This window comes from Homo sapiens, chromosome 16, assembly GCF_000001405.40.
Source record: "Homo sapiens chromosome 16, GRCh38.p14 Primary Assembly".
Classification (NCBI taxonomy): Eukaryota; Metazoa; Chordata; class Mammalia; order Primates; family Hominidae; genus Homo; species Homo sapiens.
The window spans coordinates 24799827-24821927 of record NC_000016.10 but is presented as its reverse complement, the minus strand read 5'-3'; the positions used below and the strand labels follow the sequence as shown (position 1 = coordinate 24821927).

The window sequence follows — 22101 nt, the reverse complement described above, 5'->3', positions numbered from 1 at the left end:
GCCCTAGCCATGGCCAGGCATTAACTCCTATGGCAGGGGGCTCTGCCTCTGGCGACAGTGAGCTCAGAATGGCTCCCAGTTCACCACAGAGGAGGGCAGTGAGCCACAAAAGGCTGCATCTTTTTGAGATCTTCTCATTGATAGGAGCTAAAATAATCTCAAACGGTACCATCTGGGGAAGACTTCAGTAGTGTCTGATCACTCTGCGTGTGTGTCCTTCAGGGCATGAAGCTTTAAGGGGATTCCAGAGCTTGCGATCGCACAGATGCTCCTTGTTTTCCCCGGGGTTACTGCAGGGGCTCCCCATCTGGCCTTCCTGCTGGACCCCTGTGGCATCCACCCTTCCCCTGGGAGTACAGCCCTCATCCCTGACCCCATCTGCAACTCAAGGCACCTCACAAACACTTCAGGTGCTGGGAAAGACCATTCCATGACACAGCTCAGGCCTATCCACCTCTCACGGAATCCTCCTCCACTCCCTGCAATCCTCTCATCACTCCAACGGGAGCCTTTGTGCTTTCTCCGGTGTCTGGGCCTTGGCAGAGGCTGCCCCTCGGTTCGCTTGGCTTACTCCTACAGGTTTCCTAATTCCACTCAACTGCACCAAGCCTCCCTGGGGTGGGTTCCTGGGCCACTTTCACTAGCGCCCCTCGCTGTGTGCTGCCAGTCTCTTAGCTGGCATCCAGACAGATGTCTGCGGCCTCCAAAAACCACTCACACCAAACCAAAAACCACTCACACCACACCAATTATGTTAACTTGCATTCAGCAGCTTGGCACGTACTTTAGTGTTCTTTTCCTATAATTAACCCGCACTCAAAGGAAAAGCTGCAAGTTTTCCTACAGCCAATCACCTGTCTAAAGATCAGAAATTACATATTTAATCAGAAAATATTAATGAGGTTTTATTACTCATTTTCAGCTTGAAGATGGGAATGTTTGGTAGTTTGCAGGCAAGGTAGAGTGAAGGATAAGACTGTATTTACTGGGGAAACTGCTAGGCTCATCTGGGGCTGTGTGTGTATATGTATGGTGTGGAGACAGCACAGGCAGGAAATGATGCCAGTACAAATCCAATGTTAGTCATTATAGAATGAGGAAAGGCAGAGGAACCAGACTGCCGGGGCCTTCTGGCTTATGCCTGTTGGCCATGTATGATTAATCAACAGCACTCTCTTTCACTCTCAAATGTCCCCATTTAATACAGGCCAAGCTACCCCCCTAGTCTTCAAGGCCCAGATGGCCTGCTCCCATGTTCCCCAGACTTGCCCAATACTGCCTTCTGCTCCATGTGATGTGGTTTAAGCCTGCCATGAGCAGGAAGTTCCTACACATTTTAAGATGTAGTCTTGAGGAACTTCTGAGACAATGGAGCTTCCTAATGCATTAATGTTATTGCAGCCTGTTGTGTGCCTTTGGGTGGATCATTTGTTTACCGAAGTTCTCATTCCCCCTGATGGAGGTGAGGCAATAGTTTACCGTTCAGGTCTCTGTTAAACTCGACTGTTAGTACTGGTTAGCGTTTAGCAAATAAACCACAGAAACCCACCTTACGACTGCATCTTACCTGGGGTATATCTGGCGTCAGAATTTCCCCATCCTCCACCTATACGAAGGGGAGAATTATCCCACGTAGACAAGGGTGGCTTCTGACCAGTCAGTCCCGGAGGTGGGCGGGACGGAGCAGTGATGTTTTTAGGTGGCAAAGGGACCTTCCACAGCTCATGAGCCAGAGAGGTGTTTGTAACTGAACCAGGAGACCATGTCAATTTGGAATCACTATTTCTGGCTACTCAAAGGGGGAAAAAATGGAGAGGGGAGGAATAATGTTTAAGAAAGGAGGAAATTTAAATAATGACATCCATTCTCCCACAAAAAGCAAATCTAACAAACAAAAGAAACTTTAAAACCCCAAATCAACTAAACTGCCAAAAAAGAAAATCAGTCCAAAGGAAACTGCTTTCCATCCCTCCAAACACTCAAGCCATTGATCTGTTACTAACAGCTGTAAGACCTATGAAATTCTTAGGCCAGTGTCCAAAACTGTACTCAAACTGAAATGGAAAACAATCTGAATTGCTCTAAAATAGCAATTGTGAAATTCTTAATAACCGTAATTGAGTCACTCAAGAAAGGCCATTTAAGTGAATTTTAGAACTTTGTTGTTTACTCAGGGAAAAAAGGACTGCAAAAGAGCCCCAACTCAGGAGCTGCCAAAGGAGATCTTCACGGGGTGCCTGCCTCTCTGTGCTGAGCATTGGCTGCTGGGCACCTGGCATGTGCTGTCTGTGGTCCTGACACAGTCTACTGAAGACAGAGTGGGTAAGTAATTTGCTTATGGGTCTAATGCAGAGCCAGGATTCAAAACTAAGCCTGTATGGCAAAACAAAAAACAAAAAAACAAAAAAACAAAAAAAAAAGAAAGAAAAAGGGAGGGAAGAAGAAAGGAAAGGAAAGGAAGGAAAGACAGAGAGAGAAAGAAGGAAAGGAAGGAAGAAAGAAAAAGACAGCAGGCCCAGTTCCTGACACACACTGCCTCGCAGCAATGGAGACATGAGTGGGTATGCAGGGACCAGGTACACAGTAAACCACATCAACTATCATGCTAAAAGCATGAGGGGACAGCAAGGAGTGGAACAATTCCTGTCTTCCATCACTATCAACTCTTTTTCTTACTTCACTTACAAAGTGTGTGTGCATTAGGTCAGTGCTACTCAGGGTATGGCCAGGAGACCACCACAACACAGTTTCATACTAATCTGCTGCAGGACGAGTCCAGAAATCCAGAGTGCGCATATGTAGACAGACAGCAACCTGACATTCCTGTAACTCTCAAGTGTGCCATCATTTTCCTAGCAATTCAGAATTCATGTTTACCGTATTTTACAAAAGTATCAGTCTATGAGGATTGGCATTTTTTTTTTTTTTTAAAGATCCTCCGCTGCAGATAGTCTGAGAACTAGTTTGGATTAAATTACATTTAATTACAGAGCTGCTGTGGCTCTGAGATGAGATGAGAGCTGTTCAGTGAAAACTGATTTTAGTAGATGACTGCTGGGTACAGTAAGTTTAAAAAGGAGTAAGGGATGTTAAAAATAATTTCCCAGGCTCACAAACAGAATCTCCTAATTCCCTGAGAAGACTGGACGAAAGAAGAGGGCATTAAAACAACAGCCGCGGCTCTGGCTGTGACCAACCCTCCCTTCCTGAGCGAAGGCGAGGCCCACCTGAAGTGCTTTGTGCTGTACTGCTGAGGGGAACGTTGTAGTTGGAGGCACGAATGGATGACCAGGCACTAGTTGAAGGCAGCGTGGTGTTCAAGGATGAGGATGACCCTGTGTGGGGGAAGAGTCCAATCAGCCACCAGAGCAAGGGACGTGGAGGTTCAGAAAAAGCAAAAGCTTCCAGAGAAATCAAAGCTAACAGTATGCCACAAGAAAGGAAACAGGTCCACTCAGGGTAAGATGGTGCCCGAGACATCTTCCTTCTTGCCTTCAAAAGAGCATGCTGAGCGAGCTCGCCAATTGTCTCTGCCTTGGCTCAGCACAGGCATTTTCCCTCTGATTTTGTCCTCACTGGCTGTGAGGATGCGCTCTAGCAATGGGGTCCAGCCACCAAGACAGCACTTGGCTCTGCTTCCCAGCACTGGGTCTAAAAAGGAGGTTCGAGTCTTGGTGCTAACTCGCCCCTGAGCTCCAGTGACTTCTTACTGGCTATCCTGCTCTCTAAGGCACCTGGTCACAGACACTACTAGTGAACAGGCCCTTCAGCCTTCTCCATTACGCGATATATTCAGGCTCCCAAACCTGGTGTAGCTTTCCATTTTCAAAACCCCATCGACCACTACTCTAGTTGAGCTCTAGACCCGACCACCATCTGGATTACTACACCAGTTCCCTGGCTTGTCTCCCAACCCAATCCACTCTGCTCACCACAGCCAGATTACCCCATCTTAAAGATTCTTCCACTCAAAGCCTTCAATGTTCTATTTCCTTTAACACCAAATTCAAACTCTACTGACTTTCAGAGCCATCGGATTCTTCCACTAACTCCCACGCCATGAGAATTTATGCTTGGCTTAGTGTTCCCATAGCGGGCAGAGCTGTCTGTGAAACCCAGCCATTTCACAATGCTAAGGACTCTTCTCTGCTTGTTACCTCTGTAAATTACACGTCTAACGCAACATGGTGGCTGCTTCACATGTGCTTTATAAACTGTTTAAAGGTATAGATGGTATTTTAAAAAGACAGAAAATACTTTTTAATATTTAAAAAATTAATTTCGTTAACACTCTTCTGGTACAAAATCATGGATGAAACACATCTAAATGCCTTGAGGTGAAAAGTAACCCCGTGGCAGGTAATCGGATTTTATTTGCTAACCAATTAAAAAGCACATCTGGACTGCAGGGATCCTTAAATTGGTCTTATTCTTACTCTCTGAAAGACAGCCTAATTCGCTCTTCCAGATGAAAGTCCTTCAATATTCAGAGTATATAAGCATATATAATAATATAACGTCTTTTACAAGAAACACCCATTTTTTAAACTACCATAATCTTGTAACTCAGTATAAAGTTAGTAACAACCTTCATTTGCTGTTTTTTCATTCCTTTAATACAACTGCTGGAAAGCAAAGGTTTGCTGGTCCTTTATGTTAACTTATTAAATTAATATATATATTTGCCATACTAAGGGATGATAAAATCCTCACCATTTAAAAAGTAGCCAAATTAAAGAGCCACCTATGGGAACAGAGAGAATTCTGTCTGCCATTCTTCTTCTTCGTTTTCTTTCTTTTTTAAAGAGACAGGGTCCCACAACTATGTTGCCCAGGCTTGCCTCAAGCTCCTGGGCTCAAGTGATCCCAGAGTACCCTGGGCTCAGTCGCCCAGAGTAGCTGGGTACTACATGAGCCATTCTTAAACTGTGTTAAGTGTCACTCAGAAATTGATTTGCACCCCCTACGTACCACTGTTCCTGTCCCTGAGGTGGTCAACTTCCCGCACAGTATTAATTGAAAGATTGTTTATGACACTGCCAGGAGTGACGTAAGGGTCAGTTTCAGGGTCAATGTTTGGATAACCTTTCCATGGCTCACCAGGACGAAATTCTGGAAACGGAAATTTAAAATTAGTTCAAAGCTTAATCATCATTTTAAAATCCATTAATAAATATCCAAAACCTTTATTCCTGAATCCTATGCAACTCTCAAATACTTTCCAATTTACACTAATACTCTAAGAGGATGGTTCAGTTAATACAATTAGTATTATAGAAGCTATTCTTTATAAATTACTTGCAAGTTTTTACAACTGAAATCATCTCACTGAATGTGAATATACATACCCACACACACACGTAACATATACACATACGTACTTGTGTGTGTGTTAAAAAATCATATATATGTATGTATGTTTGAGACAGGGTCTTTCTCTATCACCCAGGTTGGAGTGTAGTGGTGCAATCACAGCTCACTGCAGCTTTGAACTCCTGGACTCAAGTGATCTCCCACCTCAGCCTCCCAAAGTGCTGGGATTACAGGCATAAGCCACTGTGCCTGGCTGTGATTCATGTATTTTTTTTTTTTTTTTTTTGAGACAGAGTCTCGCTCTGTTGCCCAGGCTGGAGTGCAGTGGCATGATCTTGGCTCACTGCGAGCTCCGCCTCCTGTGTTCACGCCACTCTCCTGCCTCAGCCTCCCGAGTAGCTGGGACTACGGGCACACACCGCCATACCCGGCTAATTTCTTTTTGCATTTTTAGTAGAGATGGGGTTTCACCGTGTTAGCTAGGACGGTCTCCATCTCCTGGGACCTCGTTACCTGCCCACCTCAGCCTCCCAAAGTGCTAGGATTACAGGCATGAGCCACCGTACCCGCCAGATTCATGTTTATTTTTAAACAGTAACATTTAAAAGTGCTTTAAGCTTTAAGACAAATCACAAAGCTACTGCAACTCAGGTAGGAGAAAGCAGGCCATAGAAGCACTTCTGGTAACTCCTATGTATGAATGAAAATACTGCAAGTTACTCCCTGACACAACTTACGAGAAACAGCGAATTAAAGTTTTTGTTGTTGTTGTCTTGCTCTGTCGCCCAGGCTGGAGTGCAGTGGCGCAATTTCGGCTCACTGCAAGCTCTGCCTCCCGGGTTCACGCCATTCTCCTGCCTCAGCCTCCTGTAGCTGGGACTACAGGCGCCCGCCACCACGCCTGGCTAATTTTTTGTAGTTTTAGTAGAGACGGGGTTTCACCGTGTTAGCCAGCATGGTCTCGATCTCCTGACCTCGTGATCCGCCCGCCTCGGCCTCCCAAAGTGCTGGGATTACTGGCATGTGCCACTGCGCCCAGCCTAAAGTTTTTAATATAATTCTTCATGCTGGTCAATGGGGCTCACTTCTACCTCTGCTGCTTGAGCATAAAGGCATAGGTAACAGGCTGACACACTCACTTGCCCAAGACTTCATGCTTAACTTTTCCTCAATCACTTCTGCATTCCTTCTCATCCGCACACGTCAGTCTAAGCACGCCGATCTGGGCTACATCAGTAGTAAGTCCAGATGTAACAAAACCTTAATGGAAACACAGTCTCATGAAAGAAAGTGTTAGAAAAAATTTTACCTGGTGGCCAATTAACACTGCTAGAGCCGTTAGGCGATTTGGCACGTGGCCAGCCATCTCCTATTGAACCTGGAGGACTGGCTGGTGAAGTACTGCTGTTCATAAAGTCATAGGGAACAAATGGAGACTCTTCCAGCCTGAAACCACTTGAAATAGCACCTAACAAGGGAAGAATAATAGAGAAATGTGAGCAAAATACACACAGATTTATTTCTTATAGCTTTTCAAATGTAGCATGAACACTTTCTATTAGATCTGTGGGCTCTAGGCTGTGTTCTCTAGAGTAACTCTTTTATATTGAGATTCTAACATCGCATTTGAAGAATGTCTGAAAATGATAACTGTGAATTTCATTTTAAGTTTATGAGATGCATAAACATCATTAAGTGACCAGAATATGAGTACAAACTTATTTCCAAATCATTAAAACACTTGTATGGTGGAGGGCTATGATAGCTCAGGGGTTCTTTTCAGGCAATAGAAATGTTTAAAAATGGATTGTGGTGATGGCTACACAACATCATGAATATACTAAAAGACACCGAATTATAAGTAAATTATATCTCAATAAACTGTTAAAAAAGAAAGGATGGGGCCAGGCGTGGTGGCTCATGCCTGTAATCCCAGCACTTTGGGAGGCTGAGGCAGGCAGATCACGAGGTCAAGAGATCGAGACCAACCTGGCCAACATGGTGAAACCCTGTCTCTACTAAAAATACAAAAATTAGCTGGGCATGGTGGCACGCACCTGTAGTCCCAGCTACAGCTACTTGGGAGGCTGAAGCAGGAGAATCGCTTGAACCCGGGAGGCAGAGGTTGCAGTGAGCTGAGATCATGCCACTGCACTCTAGCCTGGGAAGAGGGCAAGACTCCGTCTCCAAAAAAAAAAAAAAAAAGAAAAAAAAAAGAAAAGAAAAAAATGACACCAGAAGGAGTAAATTTGGAAGGGAAAACCAAGTCTCCTCCATTCATGTTGAATTTGAGGTGGATGCAAATAGAACCTCGCTCGCAACTCCAGCCGGCTCCCACTATGAACATCTATAACACACAGCCGGGCCCTGCATGCCACTCCAGCCCCACTCTTTCCTCTGGCTTCAAGTCACAGTGTGCCAGCATCCACATGGGTAACTCAGGGATGATGAAGCTGGTCCCTGACAGGGCCTCACACCTCTCGCTGGTGGGCACTGACCTATCCCTGACTCAGTGTGTCTCCACTGCTTCCATTTCCCCTCTGGCTCTGGCATCCTCAATCTTGTCACTCTGATCTGTGTGAACTATGCATCTGTTCTATAAGCAGAATTAAAGTCACTTGGGAGTGAAATGGGACATAAATGAAGTAATGGCTGTACAGGATACATGAGGAAAGCATAACTGCCACATTTCAAGTGATTAATTCTTACACCTGAGATGATAAACGTAATTATATATTTTTTTCTAGTAAGAACAATTTCCACTTATGAAAACTTCATTTCATCTAAGAGAAACAGATGATATAACGAGGCAGCAAGGGTGCAATTTTATTTCATTAATCAACACAAGGGGAACATCAGCAAAATGAAATGTAAAACCTACGTGACAGGTTCAGTTTAAGCAAACAGAGCTAAATGTACAGTGGAGAATATTTGTCTTGGAGGTAGGGTATCTGATGAGATAGTGATGAAGGCAGTAATGGCAATGATGGCTATGATCTGCTGACCACTGACTGATGTGTCTAACCCTGTTCCAGCACCTAAGTGCCTGAGATGCATCGTCTCATTCATCCTCAAAACATCCCAAGAGGGCCACCATAAAAAAGAATGCGATCATGTCTTTTGCAGCAACATGGATGGAGCTGGGAGCCATTACCCTATGTGAACTAAAGAGAAAATCAAATATTGTATGTTCTCACTTTTAAGTAGGAGCTAACCAATGTATACCCAAAGATGGAAATTATTAATAGGCTCTTGGGACTCCACAAGTGGGGAGGGTGGCAAGGGTTGAAAAACTACTTATCGGGTAAAATGTTCACTATTTGGGCAATGGGCTTACTGGAAGCCCAATCTCCACCAGTATGCAATATATCTCTAGCAGTATGCAATATACCTGTATAAAAACATGAACTTGTACCCCCTGAATCTAAAATAAAACAAGGCAAGGCATGGTGGCTCACGCCTATAATCCCAGCACTTTGGGAGGCCGAAGCAGGTGGATCACTTGAGCTCAGGAATTTGAGACCAGCCTGGGCAACATGGCAAAACTCCATCTCTAATAAAAATACAAAAAACTAGCCAGGCGTGGCAGTGCTCGCCTGTAATCCCAGCTGCTCGGGAGGCTGAGGTGGGGGGGTCATCTGAGTCTGGGAGGTCAAGGCTGCAGTGACCTGAGATTGTGCCACTGCACTCCAGCCTCGGCAACTGGGGTCTCAAAAAAAAAAAAAAAAAAAAAAAAAGCCCAAGAGGTACTATTAATTCCATTTGGCAGATGAGGGACCTCAAGTTCAGAAAGGTTAAGTTACTTGCCAAGTAGCTAATTGCACTCACGTGTCACTTAACAGGGCTACACTTGGAGAAACTAGGCAATTTCATTTTTGTGTGAACATCAGAGTGCCCTTACACAAACCTAGATGGTAGAGCCCACTACACAGCAGAGCCCTATGGCCTAGCCTACTGCTCCTAGGCTACAAACCTACAGTGTGTTACTGTACTGAGTAATGTAGGCAACTGTAACAGAAGGGTGTATCTAAACATAGCTAAACAGGAAAGGTACAATAAAACATGGTATTATAAGCTCAATGGACCCACTACTGGATATATGGCCCATTGTTTACTGAAACATTGCCATTAAGTGGTGCATGACTGGAATAACAGAGTCAATTAGTAGCAGAGCTAGGTCTCGAACCTAGGATTCATATTTATTTTGCCATTTCCCCATTGTCTCAACTCCCTGTTCTCTCTCTTCAGGTCAGAAAAATTCCGGGCTGGGCCTGGTGGCTAACGCCTATAATCTCAGCACTTTGGCAGGCTGAGGCAGGCAGATCACCTGAGTTCAGGAGAACGAGACCAGCCTGGCCAACATGGTGAAACCCTGTCTCTACTAAAATTACAAAAATTAGCCGGGTGTGGTGACACACACCTGTAATCCCAGCTATACTCAGGAGGCTGAGGCACGAGAACCACTTGAATCCCAGAGACGAGGGTTGCAGTGAGCAGAGATTTGCATCACTGCACTCCAGCCTGGGTGACCGAGTGAGACTCTGTCTCAAAAAAAAAAAAAAAAAAAAAAAAAAAAAAAAAAAAAAAAAAAAAAATCCCAAAGTGACATTCCCCTGAACGGCAAACGAACTTAGAATCAAAGGTCTGTTTGGTTTATGGTCTAGCGGTTCCTTCTATTACACGACAATTTTAATTTCTGAAAATCATTAGTCCAATGTGTACAATCTAGAAATCTGACCCTAAAGTTTAGTTAATAAACTTTCAAAGTAAAATTCAATAGAAAAAAAAGAATGTCACAAAAATATCATTTTACTAGCAATCATACATTTGAGGCTGCTTAAGCTAGAATCACCAAGCCCTGTCAATTCCACTTCCTCCACAGCTCCTGGATAATGACTATACTAGATCTACTCCAATTCTCCACACTGCACCCAGAGGCATCATTCGAAAGTGCAAATCTGATCATGTCATCTCCTGGCTTAGTACTCTCCAACATACAAAAGGCAATGTTCAAATTCTTCAAGTTTATAAGGCTCTTAAAATTCTAGCCCCGCTCCATCTCTCATCGTTTCCCCTCCCTTCACCTCTGCCTGCCTGACTTCTGTTTATCTTTCATATCTCAGCTTCAGAGATCACAGGCCTCCTAGAAGCCTTGCCCAACTGCCTCCAACCAAGGCTAAAATAAAAAATCTCCTTCTATACATGTCACCAAATCCGTCTGGGTGCTGAGATGAAGGGATTTTATAAACTGCCTGGAAGTCACAGAATCTTAGGCCCATAGAGTATCTGAGACATCCAGTTTAACCCTTCTGTAATGCAGAACTTCCTAGTCAAATGTCCTTGCCTCCACTCCCCTTAACAAATCAGACTTTTCTTACTGTAGGTGTGCAGTGTGCAGCTAAGGGTTAGCATGGCAGACTGGATTGCACATTCCAAAGTGTGCCAGGACCGTCGCCTGTTCAGCTCCTGTGCTCCTCCAAGCCCATGGACTACTCTGCCAGCTAAGAGTGCCTCTGCATGCCTTACACCTAGGCCACTCTAATGATATGATTTACGGCGAACACCTATTCTTTTCTGCCTGCGACTCGGGTCCGTCCTGTATTTGTCTGACCTCTGAGGGGTCTGTCTGGAGAGGGCTGGAGACTGACTAGCTGATCAGTTATGCAAGTGTTTCAGGCTTACACTGCTGAATGAAAGAATGAGTTAAGTGAGTTACCAAGCTTTTCTGCTTTTAATTTTTGAAACTCTCTTGCAGTGTACTCCCTCTCATGTCCACTGACCTTTCTCTCTCTTACCTAGACTACTTTAAGTCTTAACTGCCTCTAGGCACCCATCATTTTCATGTTTAAAATCATTCTTGGCACAAGTTTTCCATGATTTGCACCACACCTACTATTCCATCTTCATCTACCTCTTTTCTGTCATTTGCACCTTCACCCCCAGATATGCCGAGATACAGAATTCACCAGGCAGTCCTCTTTGAACCCTGCATGCACTATTCTTTCTTGGTTGCTCTTCCTGTTTGTGTGGTAAACTTACTCTTCTCAAGGTAAGTCTTTTTCACCTTTCTAGACCCACCACACCTGCAGTTATTCCTGACTCAATGCTCCTAAGGAACTTGGTATTATTAAACTATTATAAATATTAACTTTGATATTACCTATTATATTGTACTAAAGCTGCTGACATACTTTCGTTCACAATGAACAATTCCAGGGCAAGTAATTTTACGTATATACATACATACATACATTCAACTGTAAGCATGTATGTACATTGTGTCTATGTATTCCAGGTGCTAACATAGCCTTGGAAAGCAGAAGATACTCGATTAATATTTGCTGGGTGAATGGATAATACTAAATAAGATGAAAACGGCATTTCTAAAAAAAATTTAATTGCTGAAAAGACAATACTGTTAAATCCATATGACTTACACATAGCAATAAGCTATATAAAGAAATGTGTCCATATATAAGGAATTGATAGAAATAAAATTATGGGCCAGGTGCAGTAGTTCACACCTGTAATCGCAGCACTTTGGGAGACCAAGGCAGATGGATCACCTGAGGTCAGGAGTTTGAGACCAGCCTGGCCAGCATGATGAAACCCTGTCTCTACTAAAAATACAAAAATTAGCCGGGCATGGTGGCTCAGGCCTGTAATCCCAGCTACTCAGGAGGCTGAGGTAGGAGAACTGCTTGAACCCGGGAGCAGAGTTTTCAGTGAGCTGAGATCATGCCAATGCATTCCAGCCTGGGTGACGGAATGGGACCCTGGTAGAAGTTTTAAATGTCCTAAGAACATATCAAATTAAATCCAGTAAATGTTAATAAGTGTAATAATATAAGAATAAAATCACTTAGAAAAATGTAAAAAGCCAAAGAGAAAATAATTTTTAAACATGTATCATCTGATCTCTCCTTTATAAAACAGAGTAGAGGTAAATTCTGCTTTTCATCTGAAAGTCTCTTATTGTAACTAAGACTTAATAACAACTTTTTTTAAATGAGGAAAAGTTCTAAGATAATTTGGCTTTGAAAACACATTTAAAATAAAATAAAGGCCTAAATCTAGTATTCTGCAGGTGTGTGTGTTTTTTTTTTTTTTTTGGTAAGATGTATCTTTTGTACCATGTTTGCTGGAGTTTTGATCCAAAGATGTGTTCACAGAAATGCTGTCCACTGTCGTCCACTTCCTTAGTCTTGACTGTGGCTCTTTAATACTGTTCATATCCATATTTACATTCAAGTTTGAGTTCAAGCCTGAAAAATTAAAAAACAAAACAAAACCTTAGAAAATACAGCACATTTTCTTTCTAGTAGCACAACTTCTATTTCCTAGAAAAACATGTAACTAATGTTTTCAAACCACATAACTGTTAATACTATAATTTAGTTATACGTAGAAAATATTTCTCCATAAAATTTTGATGATTTATTTAAAACTCCTTGGCAAAATAAGAGGGAGAAAAGTTTTAAGGAAGCCAGATGTATAAGTTTACTTGGAATAAAATGTATCTGTTTAGCTATTTCCCAAGTGTACCTATGCATGAAGATCTGTGGTCACTTTCAGTTGCTATCTTTTGCTTGCAAATTCTAAAGTAAAAATGTCCTGTACTAGCAATTACACCTAGGCTGGGGACAGATATATCTTAAGGCACAATTTACTTGACCTTTGCTGATGAGGCCCCTCAGACTTGGATATTCTCTTGGAACAAGAATGGAAATTTCAACCTTAGATACAGTGGTCAGAAAACTATTAAGCTAGTTTTTCTTAAAAGAGTAATCTAGGGACTATTAATATTAGAATCACCTAAAACGCTTGTTTAAAAATGAAGACTTTCCAGTGGGAGCCAGAATCTTTGTTTCACAATTCCCAAGAGGTTCTTATTCTAAAGTTCCAAATTAAATTGTTTTAAATTCTCTGGTCTGATGAGTCCATGTGATGTTAAGGTCTGTCAAACCTGAAAACTTTAATAATACAAATTCTCTAATACCATGCGTATTTTTGCAGAGAGCAATTAAATTTGCTACTCTTGGACCCATCAATCGGATCAGGAGTTGACAATTTTTTTCTGCAGAGGTTCAGCCGGTATCTCAGGCTCTGTGGGCCACATGGTCCCGGTGTCTCCATGCAACTCTGCTGGTGCAGCACGAAAGCAGCCACAGACCCCAGGTTAGAGAAAATGTGGCTGTGTCCAACAAAACCTTACAACAGCAGGCAGTGGGCCAAATTTGGCCAACAGGCCATAGCCTGTTGCCGAACTTAGATAACTGTATTGGTATTTGCATGGGCTAAGCAGACTTTCTTAATCAAGAAGTATCCCTCACTGAGAAGCTGGCCAGGGCAGGAAATCCTATGCTTAGAACTTATGTGGCCAATTTATATGTCAAGTGTGCAGTCAAATAGGAAGAGCCAGCTCCCTTCACTGATGAGACAAAAACTTCTCCCTGTACTTGGGTATCATTCTTTTACTACTAACTGTTGTCTCTGACATCACCTGGCCACCACTAAATGGCTTCTTCAGTATTCACCCACAGTAGTAACTGACAAGGGAACTGTTTTTGGAAATGCAGAGATCACTAACAATCCTAAGGACTCAAAGTACAATTTATGTCCCAGGTGAGAGTCTGTGGTAATACCAGGCTGAGCCAAACCAGTTCAGTCACAGAGTGAGGCAGCAGCAGGGGCAACAGCATGCCCCAGCCTCTGCCCACAGCCCAGAACAACTAGTTAACTGATGGTCTTCAAACACTCTGGCTAACAACCAGCAAAGCTGGTTTACAAGAAACCACTGTATAGGAAAAGAGAGAGAAAAAAAGCAAAATAAACAGGGCATGAACAATCAATGGTTAAAATATAATCAAGGGCACAAGAAAAAAAGAGACCTAGGAAAGAAACAACATATAAGCTCAAAATCTCTACCCAGTGAATAAAAGCCTGGAGATAACAGAGAAAAAAGAGTGGGTGGGGGTGGGGAGTTGCATGTATAAGAAAGGCAATCTCCTTTCTTACCTCCATTTTTAAATTTATATCAGTAATCATTTATACATAGTTAGACAGTAGTTAAAACTTCAAGTTCTGAGAGCTAGCAAATGTGACTGTGACCATCCCCAGCTGTTTCACCAAAACAGCACTGCTCAAAAATTCTCTGGTGTACTGTTTCTAATAAGAACATCAGCCTTCCTTCCCACCCTTAATATCCTACTTAAGATTAAGACAGCTAGTCCTTTAAAAAGTGAAATGTTTCCTTTATTCTAATGCACTTTAAACGAGTGTGGAGTTTTTGAAATAGTGTGATTTTGAAGGCTGGGCATGGTGGCTCATGCCTGTAATCCCAACACTTTGGGAGGCCAAGGCAGGCAGATCACCTGAGGTCAGGAGTTCCAGACCCACCCGGCCAACATGGTGAAACCCCAAATCTATTAAAATACAAAGATTAGCTGGGCGTGGTGGTGCGCGCCTGTAATCCCAGCTACTCGGGAAGCTGAGGTGCGAGAATCGCTTGAACCCGGGAGGCAGAGGTTGCAGTGAGCCAAGATCTCACCACTGCACTCCACCCTGGGTGACAGAGCAAGACTCTGTCCTAAAAAAAAAAAAAAAGAAAAGGAAAGAAAAGAAAAATCGTGATTTTCTTGAGGAGAGAGACCTTCCCTGAATGTGGAGCAGGTTAAAACTAGGAGAGGGGATGGCAACTCTCTGAGAGGGAACAGCTAAGAGATCAATGTAGCTTTCATGAAGGAACAGAGCTGTAAGGGTACGTGTGAAGGAGGCACGCCTGTGATACCTAAGCATCAGTCCAATACTTGGGCCAAGGAGAAACCCACCTATAGGGAAGTTGCTGAAAGCATTTATTGGTGATGGCCCTTTTTGCAGCTCAGGTGTAGTGTGGGGCATGACATTGTCAAGGAAAGACTTCATGGCTGGCTGATGGAGTGGCTGCTGCTGAGATGGTGGAGTCTGCTGCTTCACCAACAGGTTTGGATCAAGTTGACGAGATTGTTGCATCATTTGCTGCTGCACACTAAGAGGTCGACCCTTAAAACAATGAAATGATTGGAAAAAATTACTGGGGGAAAACGTCTTTACAGAAAACTACATATTCCTCTCCATTTTTGAATTCACTTTCGTCTCAGCAGAAAGGTGAATAATCACTGTATAATGTTCACATAACTCATGGGCAACCAGCAGACTTAATGAAAAACATACTGCATTACATCTTAGTAAGATTGTTTTAAGAAAGACATTTCTGAATCTCTTGCTACAATGGAGATAAGCAGAGTTTATTAACACAAAGACAGCATTGCGAGTTGCAGGGCGGGCTCTACCTGCTGGTCTTGCTGCGGCCGGTTCCCAGAAGGCACGCTTCTCTGACTCTGCGCCCTTTGCTGCTGCGCTAACAATCGCTAGAGGAAAGATAGCGAAAAGGTTGTTACTATCACACCATTACAAAGTGTGTGCTTCCAAATGACGACAGCAGATGGACCTACAGAGGCACGACGTGATCTAGCCAATGCCAACATGTCTAGCATTATCTAGTACCATCTCTTCCTTGGACTCTCTGGTTTCTAGTCACTGCTGAAATTCAGTCTTTAGTTCAATCTAAACTTTCACTTCAACAGAGAAACTTTTCCTAATCATCCTACTAACACTAGCACCCTGGACTTGGCTGAGGTTTCCTCTCACAGCATTCTGCACTTCTTCAAGACATTCTTCACAAATGTTCACGATCTGTCTCCCCCGATAGACTGTAAGCTCCATGAGGACTATGACTACGCCTGTTTTGTTTAGTGCACTATGTCCCGCACAGAGTCTAGTGTTTGGCATACAGTAGATGCTCCATAAATGTGTACTAAGAAAGACTATGACTCTGCTTACCTGTAACTGGGAGATCTGAGAAAGCTGGTTTAGCTGGGATAGCTGGTTCAGCATGGCTACCTGTTGAGGGCCAAAGAGTGGATTCAGGCCACCGTTGTTTGGTGCATACTTCAGCAATGAAACTGGAACCTTAGGATCACAATGGTAAGTTAATGATCTTGATAAAATAACTCACACTAACTACACGTACTGTGTGTTTTCAGTTGTCAATAGAGCAGTTAAATTTGTGGACTATTCATTGGGGGTTATAGTCTTTGTCTCTGTCTTACTAACTGACCACTCACTTACACTTTTTCGTGGGTTAAGTAAAAGATGACAGAGGTGCATCTTAAACTAGTCAATTTTACTTTGCTTTTGTCCTACTCTCAAGAATGTTTTAAAGAAGAAAATGGTAAATTTTGGATTTAAATTATCCTTGACTTTTCCTTACTACAACCTTTTTTAATAGTTAATTCAAAACTAGCTGAATCTCAAAGATGCCAATAAATATGATAATGCTTAGTTAGCCATTTTATTCAAATACAAAATCATGCAAGATCCTTTTTGCAGGTAAACAGGAGAATGTAAGGAAAGCTTATTTACCTGAGGGGAGAGTAATGGAGGAGGCACTTGAGCACGGAGATTAGGCTGAGATGAACTAAGAGGTTGTGCTGGAGGCTGCTGCATGCCCCGGGGTTGTGCTGCTGTGTTTCCAACACCAAACATACTGGGATTGCCATTCTATAAAAACAAACAGCAACAAGTAACAGTGGGATTCTTTAGGGACAAACATCTCATTACCACACTGTACTATGATTTAAACACAGTAACTACATGTAAGAGAGATCTTATTACTAATACAAATCATTCAACTGAGAGCCTAAAATACACATCTGGACTTACCTGTCTAACAGAATTCAAGTTTTGCATACCCAGCCCTGCTATGGAGCCAAGGGCCTGGTTAGGTAGTGCACTATTTGAAGGGGGAAGCTTCATGCTTTGACTGGACATAAACTGCATGTTTTGGGATTCATCTGCTACAATGCCATCCTGATTGGACAGACAGAAAGATGTGCAACACCAGCCAAGCAAACAAGTGGAAGGGAGAAATCATTGCAGGAACAGAAGAGAAGTCACATGACATTCCAGCATCAACAGGAAACAGGTAGAAAACAGAAGAGATCGGATTAGTGTTAATTCTAGAGCACACAAAAAGAGCCAAACATATTTCATGGGATTAAGAAGAAAAATATAAATGCAACCTCTATGATAAATTGAGACATAAAAAGACAGTGAACTTCAAAATCCAGTAATAAGATTTGGTAGTGGATTGTAACACTTTATATTATATAAAAGGTTTTAAAATATTAGTGTGAAAATTACGCTATGAAGTATACTGGTTTATCAAGTCAGAGGTAAAAGTAAAAAACCTTACCTTATCAAAATAAGGATTGCGCTCCATGGAAGACTCTTTGGAAATCTGAGGCCGAGAACCAGGGCCTTTCCCGACCGTTCGATTGTAATCACCAATATTTAGGCTATGTTTATCTATCTCCATTCGTTTGTCTTGTAACATTCCTAATAAAGGCAGGAGACTGTTATCAAACAGGAAGACAACCCAATTGGTTTCAGATAAATTTACAACAAAAGCAAAACACTCACTTTCCAAACTGAAATGACTTCAGCCAAGACAAGGGTATGTGAAAAATACACTTCCATTTCATAAATTTTGCATTCCTCACAAATGAAGTCGCAATTAGGAGATACTGTTATTTTACTGAAATAATTAACTTGAAATAGACTAGTAAACAGAAGGTGGCTGGCTGATAACCTCACTTTTTTTTTCTTTTTTATTTTAGACAGTCTCGCTTTGTGGCCCAGGCTGGAGTGCAGTGGTGGGATCTCGGCTCACTGCAACCTCCACCTCCTAGATTCAAGCAATTCTCATGCCTCAGCCTCTCGAGTAGCTGGGATTACAGGAGTGTACCACTACACCTGACTATTTTTTGTATTATTAGTAGAGATGTAGGTTTCTCCATGTTGGCCCGGCTGGTCTTGAACTCCTGACCTCAAGTGATCCGGCCGCTTCGGCCTCCCAATGTGCTAGGATTACAGGTATGAGCCACCAGGCCCGGCCTCGTTTTAAAAGGACTCTTAGGTTACATAACTTAAGGCACCTTTAGCCATCTCTAATCTGCTGAGTTTTATAATACAGGTAAGTTTCCATTAACAAGTAATAAAAACAATCAACACCCACTGTGATAAACCACCATTTAATAAATGCCTGGTTTATGTCAGTCGCCATTATAAGTGCTTTTTCTTTTCTTTTTTTTTTTGAGAAGGGGTCTCACTCTGTAGCCCAGGCTAGAGTGCAGTGGTGTGATCTTGGCTCACTGGAACCTCTGCCTCCCGGGTTCAAGCAATCCTCCTGCCTCAGCCTCCTGAGCAGCTGGGATTACAGGCACCCACCACCACACCCAGCTAATTTTTTTATTTTCAGTAGAGACAGGGTTTCCCCATGTTGGCCAGGCTGGTCTCAAACTCCTGACCTCAGGTGATCTGCCTGCCTTGGCCTCCCAAAGTGCTGGATTTACAGACGTGAGCCACCGCACCTGGCCTATGAATGCTTTATGTGTACTAATTTAATGTTTGTAACTCTACTGTTATCGCCCTTTTAGCAGATGAGGAAACTGGACACCAGACAGGGTAACATCTTCCCCTCTCTTAGGCTTTGCTCTGTCTGCTCCTCTCCTCATTCTGACTGCTCTGCAATAAAAAATGATCTTCTCTCCTGGAAACTTTTTTCCTGCAAAATCTTTGCTGGATATAGCCAGCTCCGGCCCAAAAGCTACTGCTCTATTTCAACAAATCTTTTAAAAGTGGACAATGCTCTCTACCACCCCTCCTCACCATCTGTCCATTCTGGTTTCTCTTCCTCTACCCATGCTGAGCTCACCTCGGGTGCTTCTTCAATGCTGGGATACTCTGCGGCTGACAAAGTAGACTCAGGGTCTCAGTCTTTTGACTCTCTCTGTAAACTTGCTTTCCTTAGACTTCATTCACTATCAGGGTATCAGCAGTCACTCCCATTCAAGTGATGCCCAAATATAAACATGTTGCTTAGACTTCACAACTGAGCTCAGTCCCACATTTTTACCTGCCTGCTAAAGCACATCCATTTCGATGTCCCATTGTCACTTTTTTTTGAGACAGTGTCTGGCTCTGCTGCCCAGGCTGGAGCGTAGTGGCACAATCTTGGCTCACTGCAGCCTGTGCCTCCCCGGCCCAAGCAATCCTCTCACCTCAGCTTCCTGAGTAGCTGGGCCCAGAGGTATGTACCACCACCCCCAGCTAATTTTTGCATTTTTTTGTAGAGACAAGGCTTCACCATGTTGCCCAAGCGGTCTCCAACTCCTGACCTCAAGTCATCTGTCCACCTCGGCCTCCTGAAGTGCTGGGATCACAGTCATGAGCCACTGTGCCCGGCCTCATTGTCACTGTTAACACAGGTTTTCATCTCCCTATTCCTCATTCTTGACGTTTTCTCAATCCTCAAATCTCATCCATCATTTCTTTGCAACTGCTGTTCTTTGAGATGTCTGCCACCACCATAATACTTACCTTTACTACTCTCATTCCAGGTAAGTGGAAAAGGAAAACAATTCTTAAAGTAGCTAAGAAGTACTGTTCCAGTCATGAATCTGGTATTTAAAAAATCCACCTTTCACAGTTGTTTAAGAGCCCTCTCTTGAATGTCAATAATCCTTACCACAGCTCCCTCCTCTGTTCTCTCTCCCTGTTAAGATGTCATAATTCACTGATAACAACTAAGCTAGCCATTGTGAACTCTTTCCCCCACTCTCTTCATCTAATCCTGTAACCAATTCCAACCAGTTCTCCTAACTCTCTCTCCAAGCTGTTCCTTCTTGATAATTCACATTATTTTTGCCTATGCAAATACCTTTTGAAAGAGTAGTAGCAGCTGAGCACGGTGGCTAACACTTGTAATCTCAGCGCTTTGGGAGGCCGAGGCAGGCAGGAGTTTGCGACCAGTTTGGCCAACACGGTGAAACCCTGTCTCTACTAAAAATACAAAAAATTAGCTGGGCGTGGAGGCAGGAGAATCGCTTGAACCTGGGAGGCAGAGGTTGCAGTGAGCCGAGATTGCGCCACTGCACTCCAGCCTCAGTGAGACTCCAACTCAAAAAAAAAAAAAAAAAAGAGAGTAGCATGTTACATTTTTTCCACAAACCATTCTCCAACACTTCTGCATCCCTTTAAAAAGAAACTCAAATGTGGCAATCTCCCCTCAGTCCACCAGTCCTCCAGTAAGGTCCATTAGTTACCAATGACTACCCCTGAGCCCCACTGTCAAATCCATTCCCTGACAATCAGTTTTTTCTTTTCAAAACTCTGTACTCACTTGGCGTCTGAAAAATTATTCTACTCTAACTTGTCCCACTTCTGCTTAGGATCACTCCCCTAAATGCCATTATTCCCCAGGACTGTCTTCGGTCCATTATCCTCCAACTCTCTCTAGTCAAACTATTCCTATAGCTTACACTATCATCCACATCTAATTAATTACACTTCATATCACCAGCCCCATCTATTCTGAGCTTCACATCCAGATTTTCGACTGTTTACTGGACCAGGTGGTTTTCAGAGCACCTTCAAACGCAGTATCTATCAAGCCTGCTATTCCTGTATTTCTTAACTCAAATAATGACCATTTATTGATTTATTGTCTCTCAGCTCCAAATTCACCCTTTTTGACTGCTCTATGAAAATATATCTGGACTCTTTACATTTTTTCCTTAGCCAGCTGGTACTGAGGCTTTGTCAGAAGAGGGAGCTCGAGAGACAGGGCAAGAGGAAGGGTGTTGCTTCCTGGGCCAGCATGTGGACTTGGTAGGCATGGGCAGCCCTTGCAGCTTCTCCATTGCCTGGTGGGTCAGCAGCACTCTGTGGGAGCTTCTCCCAGCATTCCCCTCCCTCTTACATCACAGTTGTGCTGCAGTGTCTCCGGTGAGATACCTCTCCATGAATGCCTTTTCCCAGGACTCTAGAGGGCAGATTTCCCACAGGTTCCACCAGCACGACATCATAGCAACTTCCGTGCCATTCAGTGAGCCATGAAGGAGGCAGAAACTTGTCCTAACAGGAAAAGGTTCACATTCTGGACACAGATTTTTGTTGCCTGTAAAGCTTCTGTTATCCACAGCCTCACAGGATGCCTTCTCCACTATCGGCACTCTTCACAGCCATCATGTCTTACTGAGGAGCTCATGTCACAGCAGAGGAAATACAGGACTGTGTTCATGCCCATGGAATTAACTGGTCTTACCATATATGCCATTGCCTGAAAGTAGCTAACCAAATTAATAGGCTTACTAAAGAATCAGTTACAAAGCAAGTTGGGAGACAACATCCTAAAAAGGTGGGCATCTGTCGTAGGAGGATGCGGTATGTGTCTCTCCAATTACTAGAATTTGTAAGTTGTGAGAATCAAAAGGTGAAAGTGCGAGCGGCTTCTCTCACAATTATACCTAATGAGCCACTTACAGAACACTCACTTTCTGTTCTGACAACTGCTGATTTAGAGAATTTAGTCCTTGAGAGAGAAAACGCTTCCAACAAAAACCGCAACAATGGCTCCACTGCCCTGGAAGATGAAGACTGCTACAGGGACATTTTGCACTCCTTGAGGTATGAACTAGCAGGCAAACAAACAAACAAACAAACAAAACTAGTCTACTGGCTGGGGTAACTGATGTGATTACGAAATGAAGGCAGTGAAGACTGTCGGGAACCCAGGGGATTCTCTGGGATGCTTCTTAGTATTTCCATACCCAGTAGTGAAGGCCAATGAAAAACAATGGCAACCATAAAAGGCAAGGACAACTGGGGGCTCAGATCCTTTGTGAA

The 22101-nt window shown here is 43.1% G+C and overlaps 1 protein-coding gene across 49 annotated transcripts in view; it reads right to left on the bottom strand.

Annotated features, from left to right (window-relative positions):
- The window catches only part of TNRC6A (trinucleotide repeat containing adaptor 6A), a 216014-nt gene that overhangs the window by 4291 nt on the left and 189622 nt on the right, over nt 1–22101 (bottom strand). For 19 of the 49 annotated variants that reach the window (XM_024450231.2, XM_017023144.3, XM_017023148.3 and 16 more), the window contains 11 exons: nt 17609–17751; nt 17077–17223; nt 16777–16914; nt 16195–16323; nt 15645–15722; nt 15144–15354; nt 12447–12578; nt 6623–6781; nt 4972–5112; nt 3228–3335; nt 1568–1789 (listed from right to left, as the gene is read on the bottom strand). In XM_024450231.2, coding sequence (XP_024305999.1) covers nt 1568–1789; nt 3228–3335; nt 4972–5112; nt 6623–6781; nt 12447–12578; nt 15144–15354; nt 15645–15722; nt 16195–16323; nt 16777–16914; nt 17077–17223; nt 17609–17751 — 1608 coding nt within the window. The remainder of the gene's footprint in view (nt 1–1567; nt 1790–3227; nt 3336–4971; nt 5113–6622; nt 6782–12446; nt 12579–15143; nt 15355–15644; nt 15723–16194; nt 16324–16776; nt 16915–17076; nt 17224–17608; nt 17752–22101) is intronic. The other 30 variants (NM_001351850.2, XM_024450232.2, XM_024450233.2 and 27 more) reach the window with 3 other exon arrangements.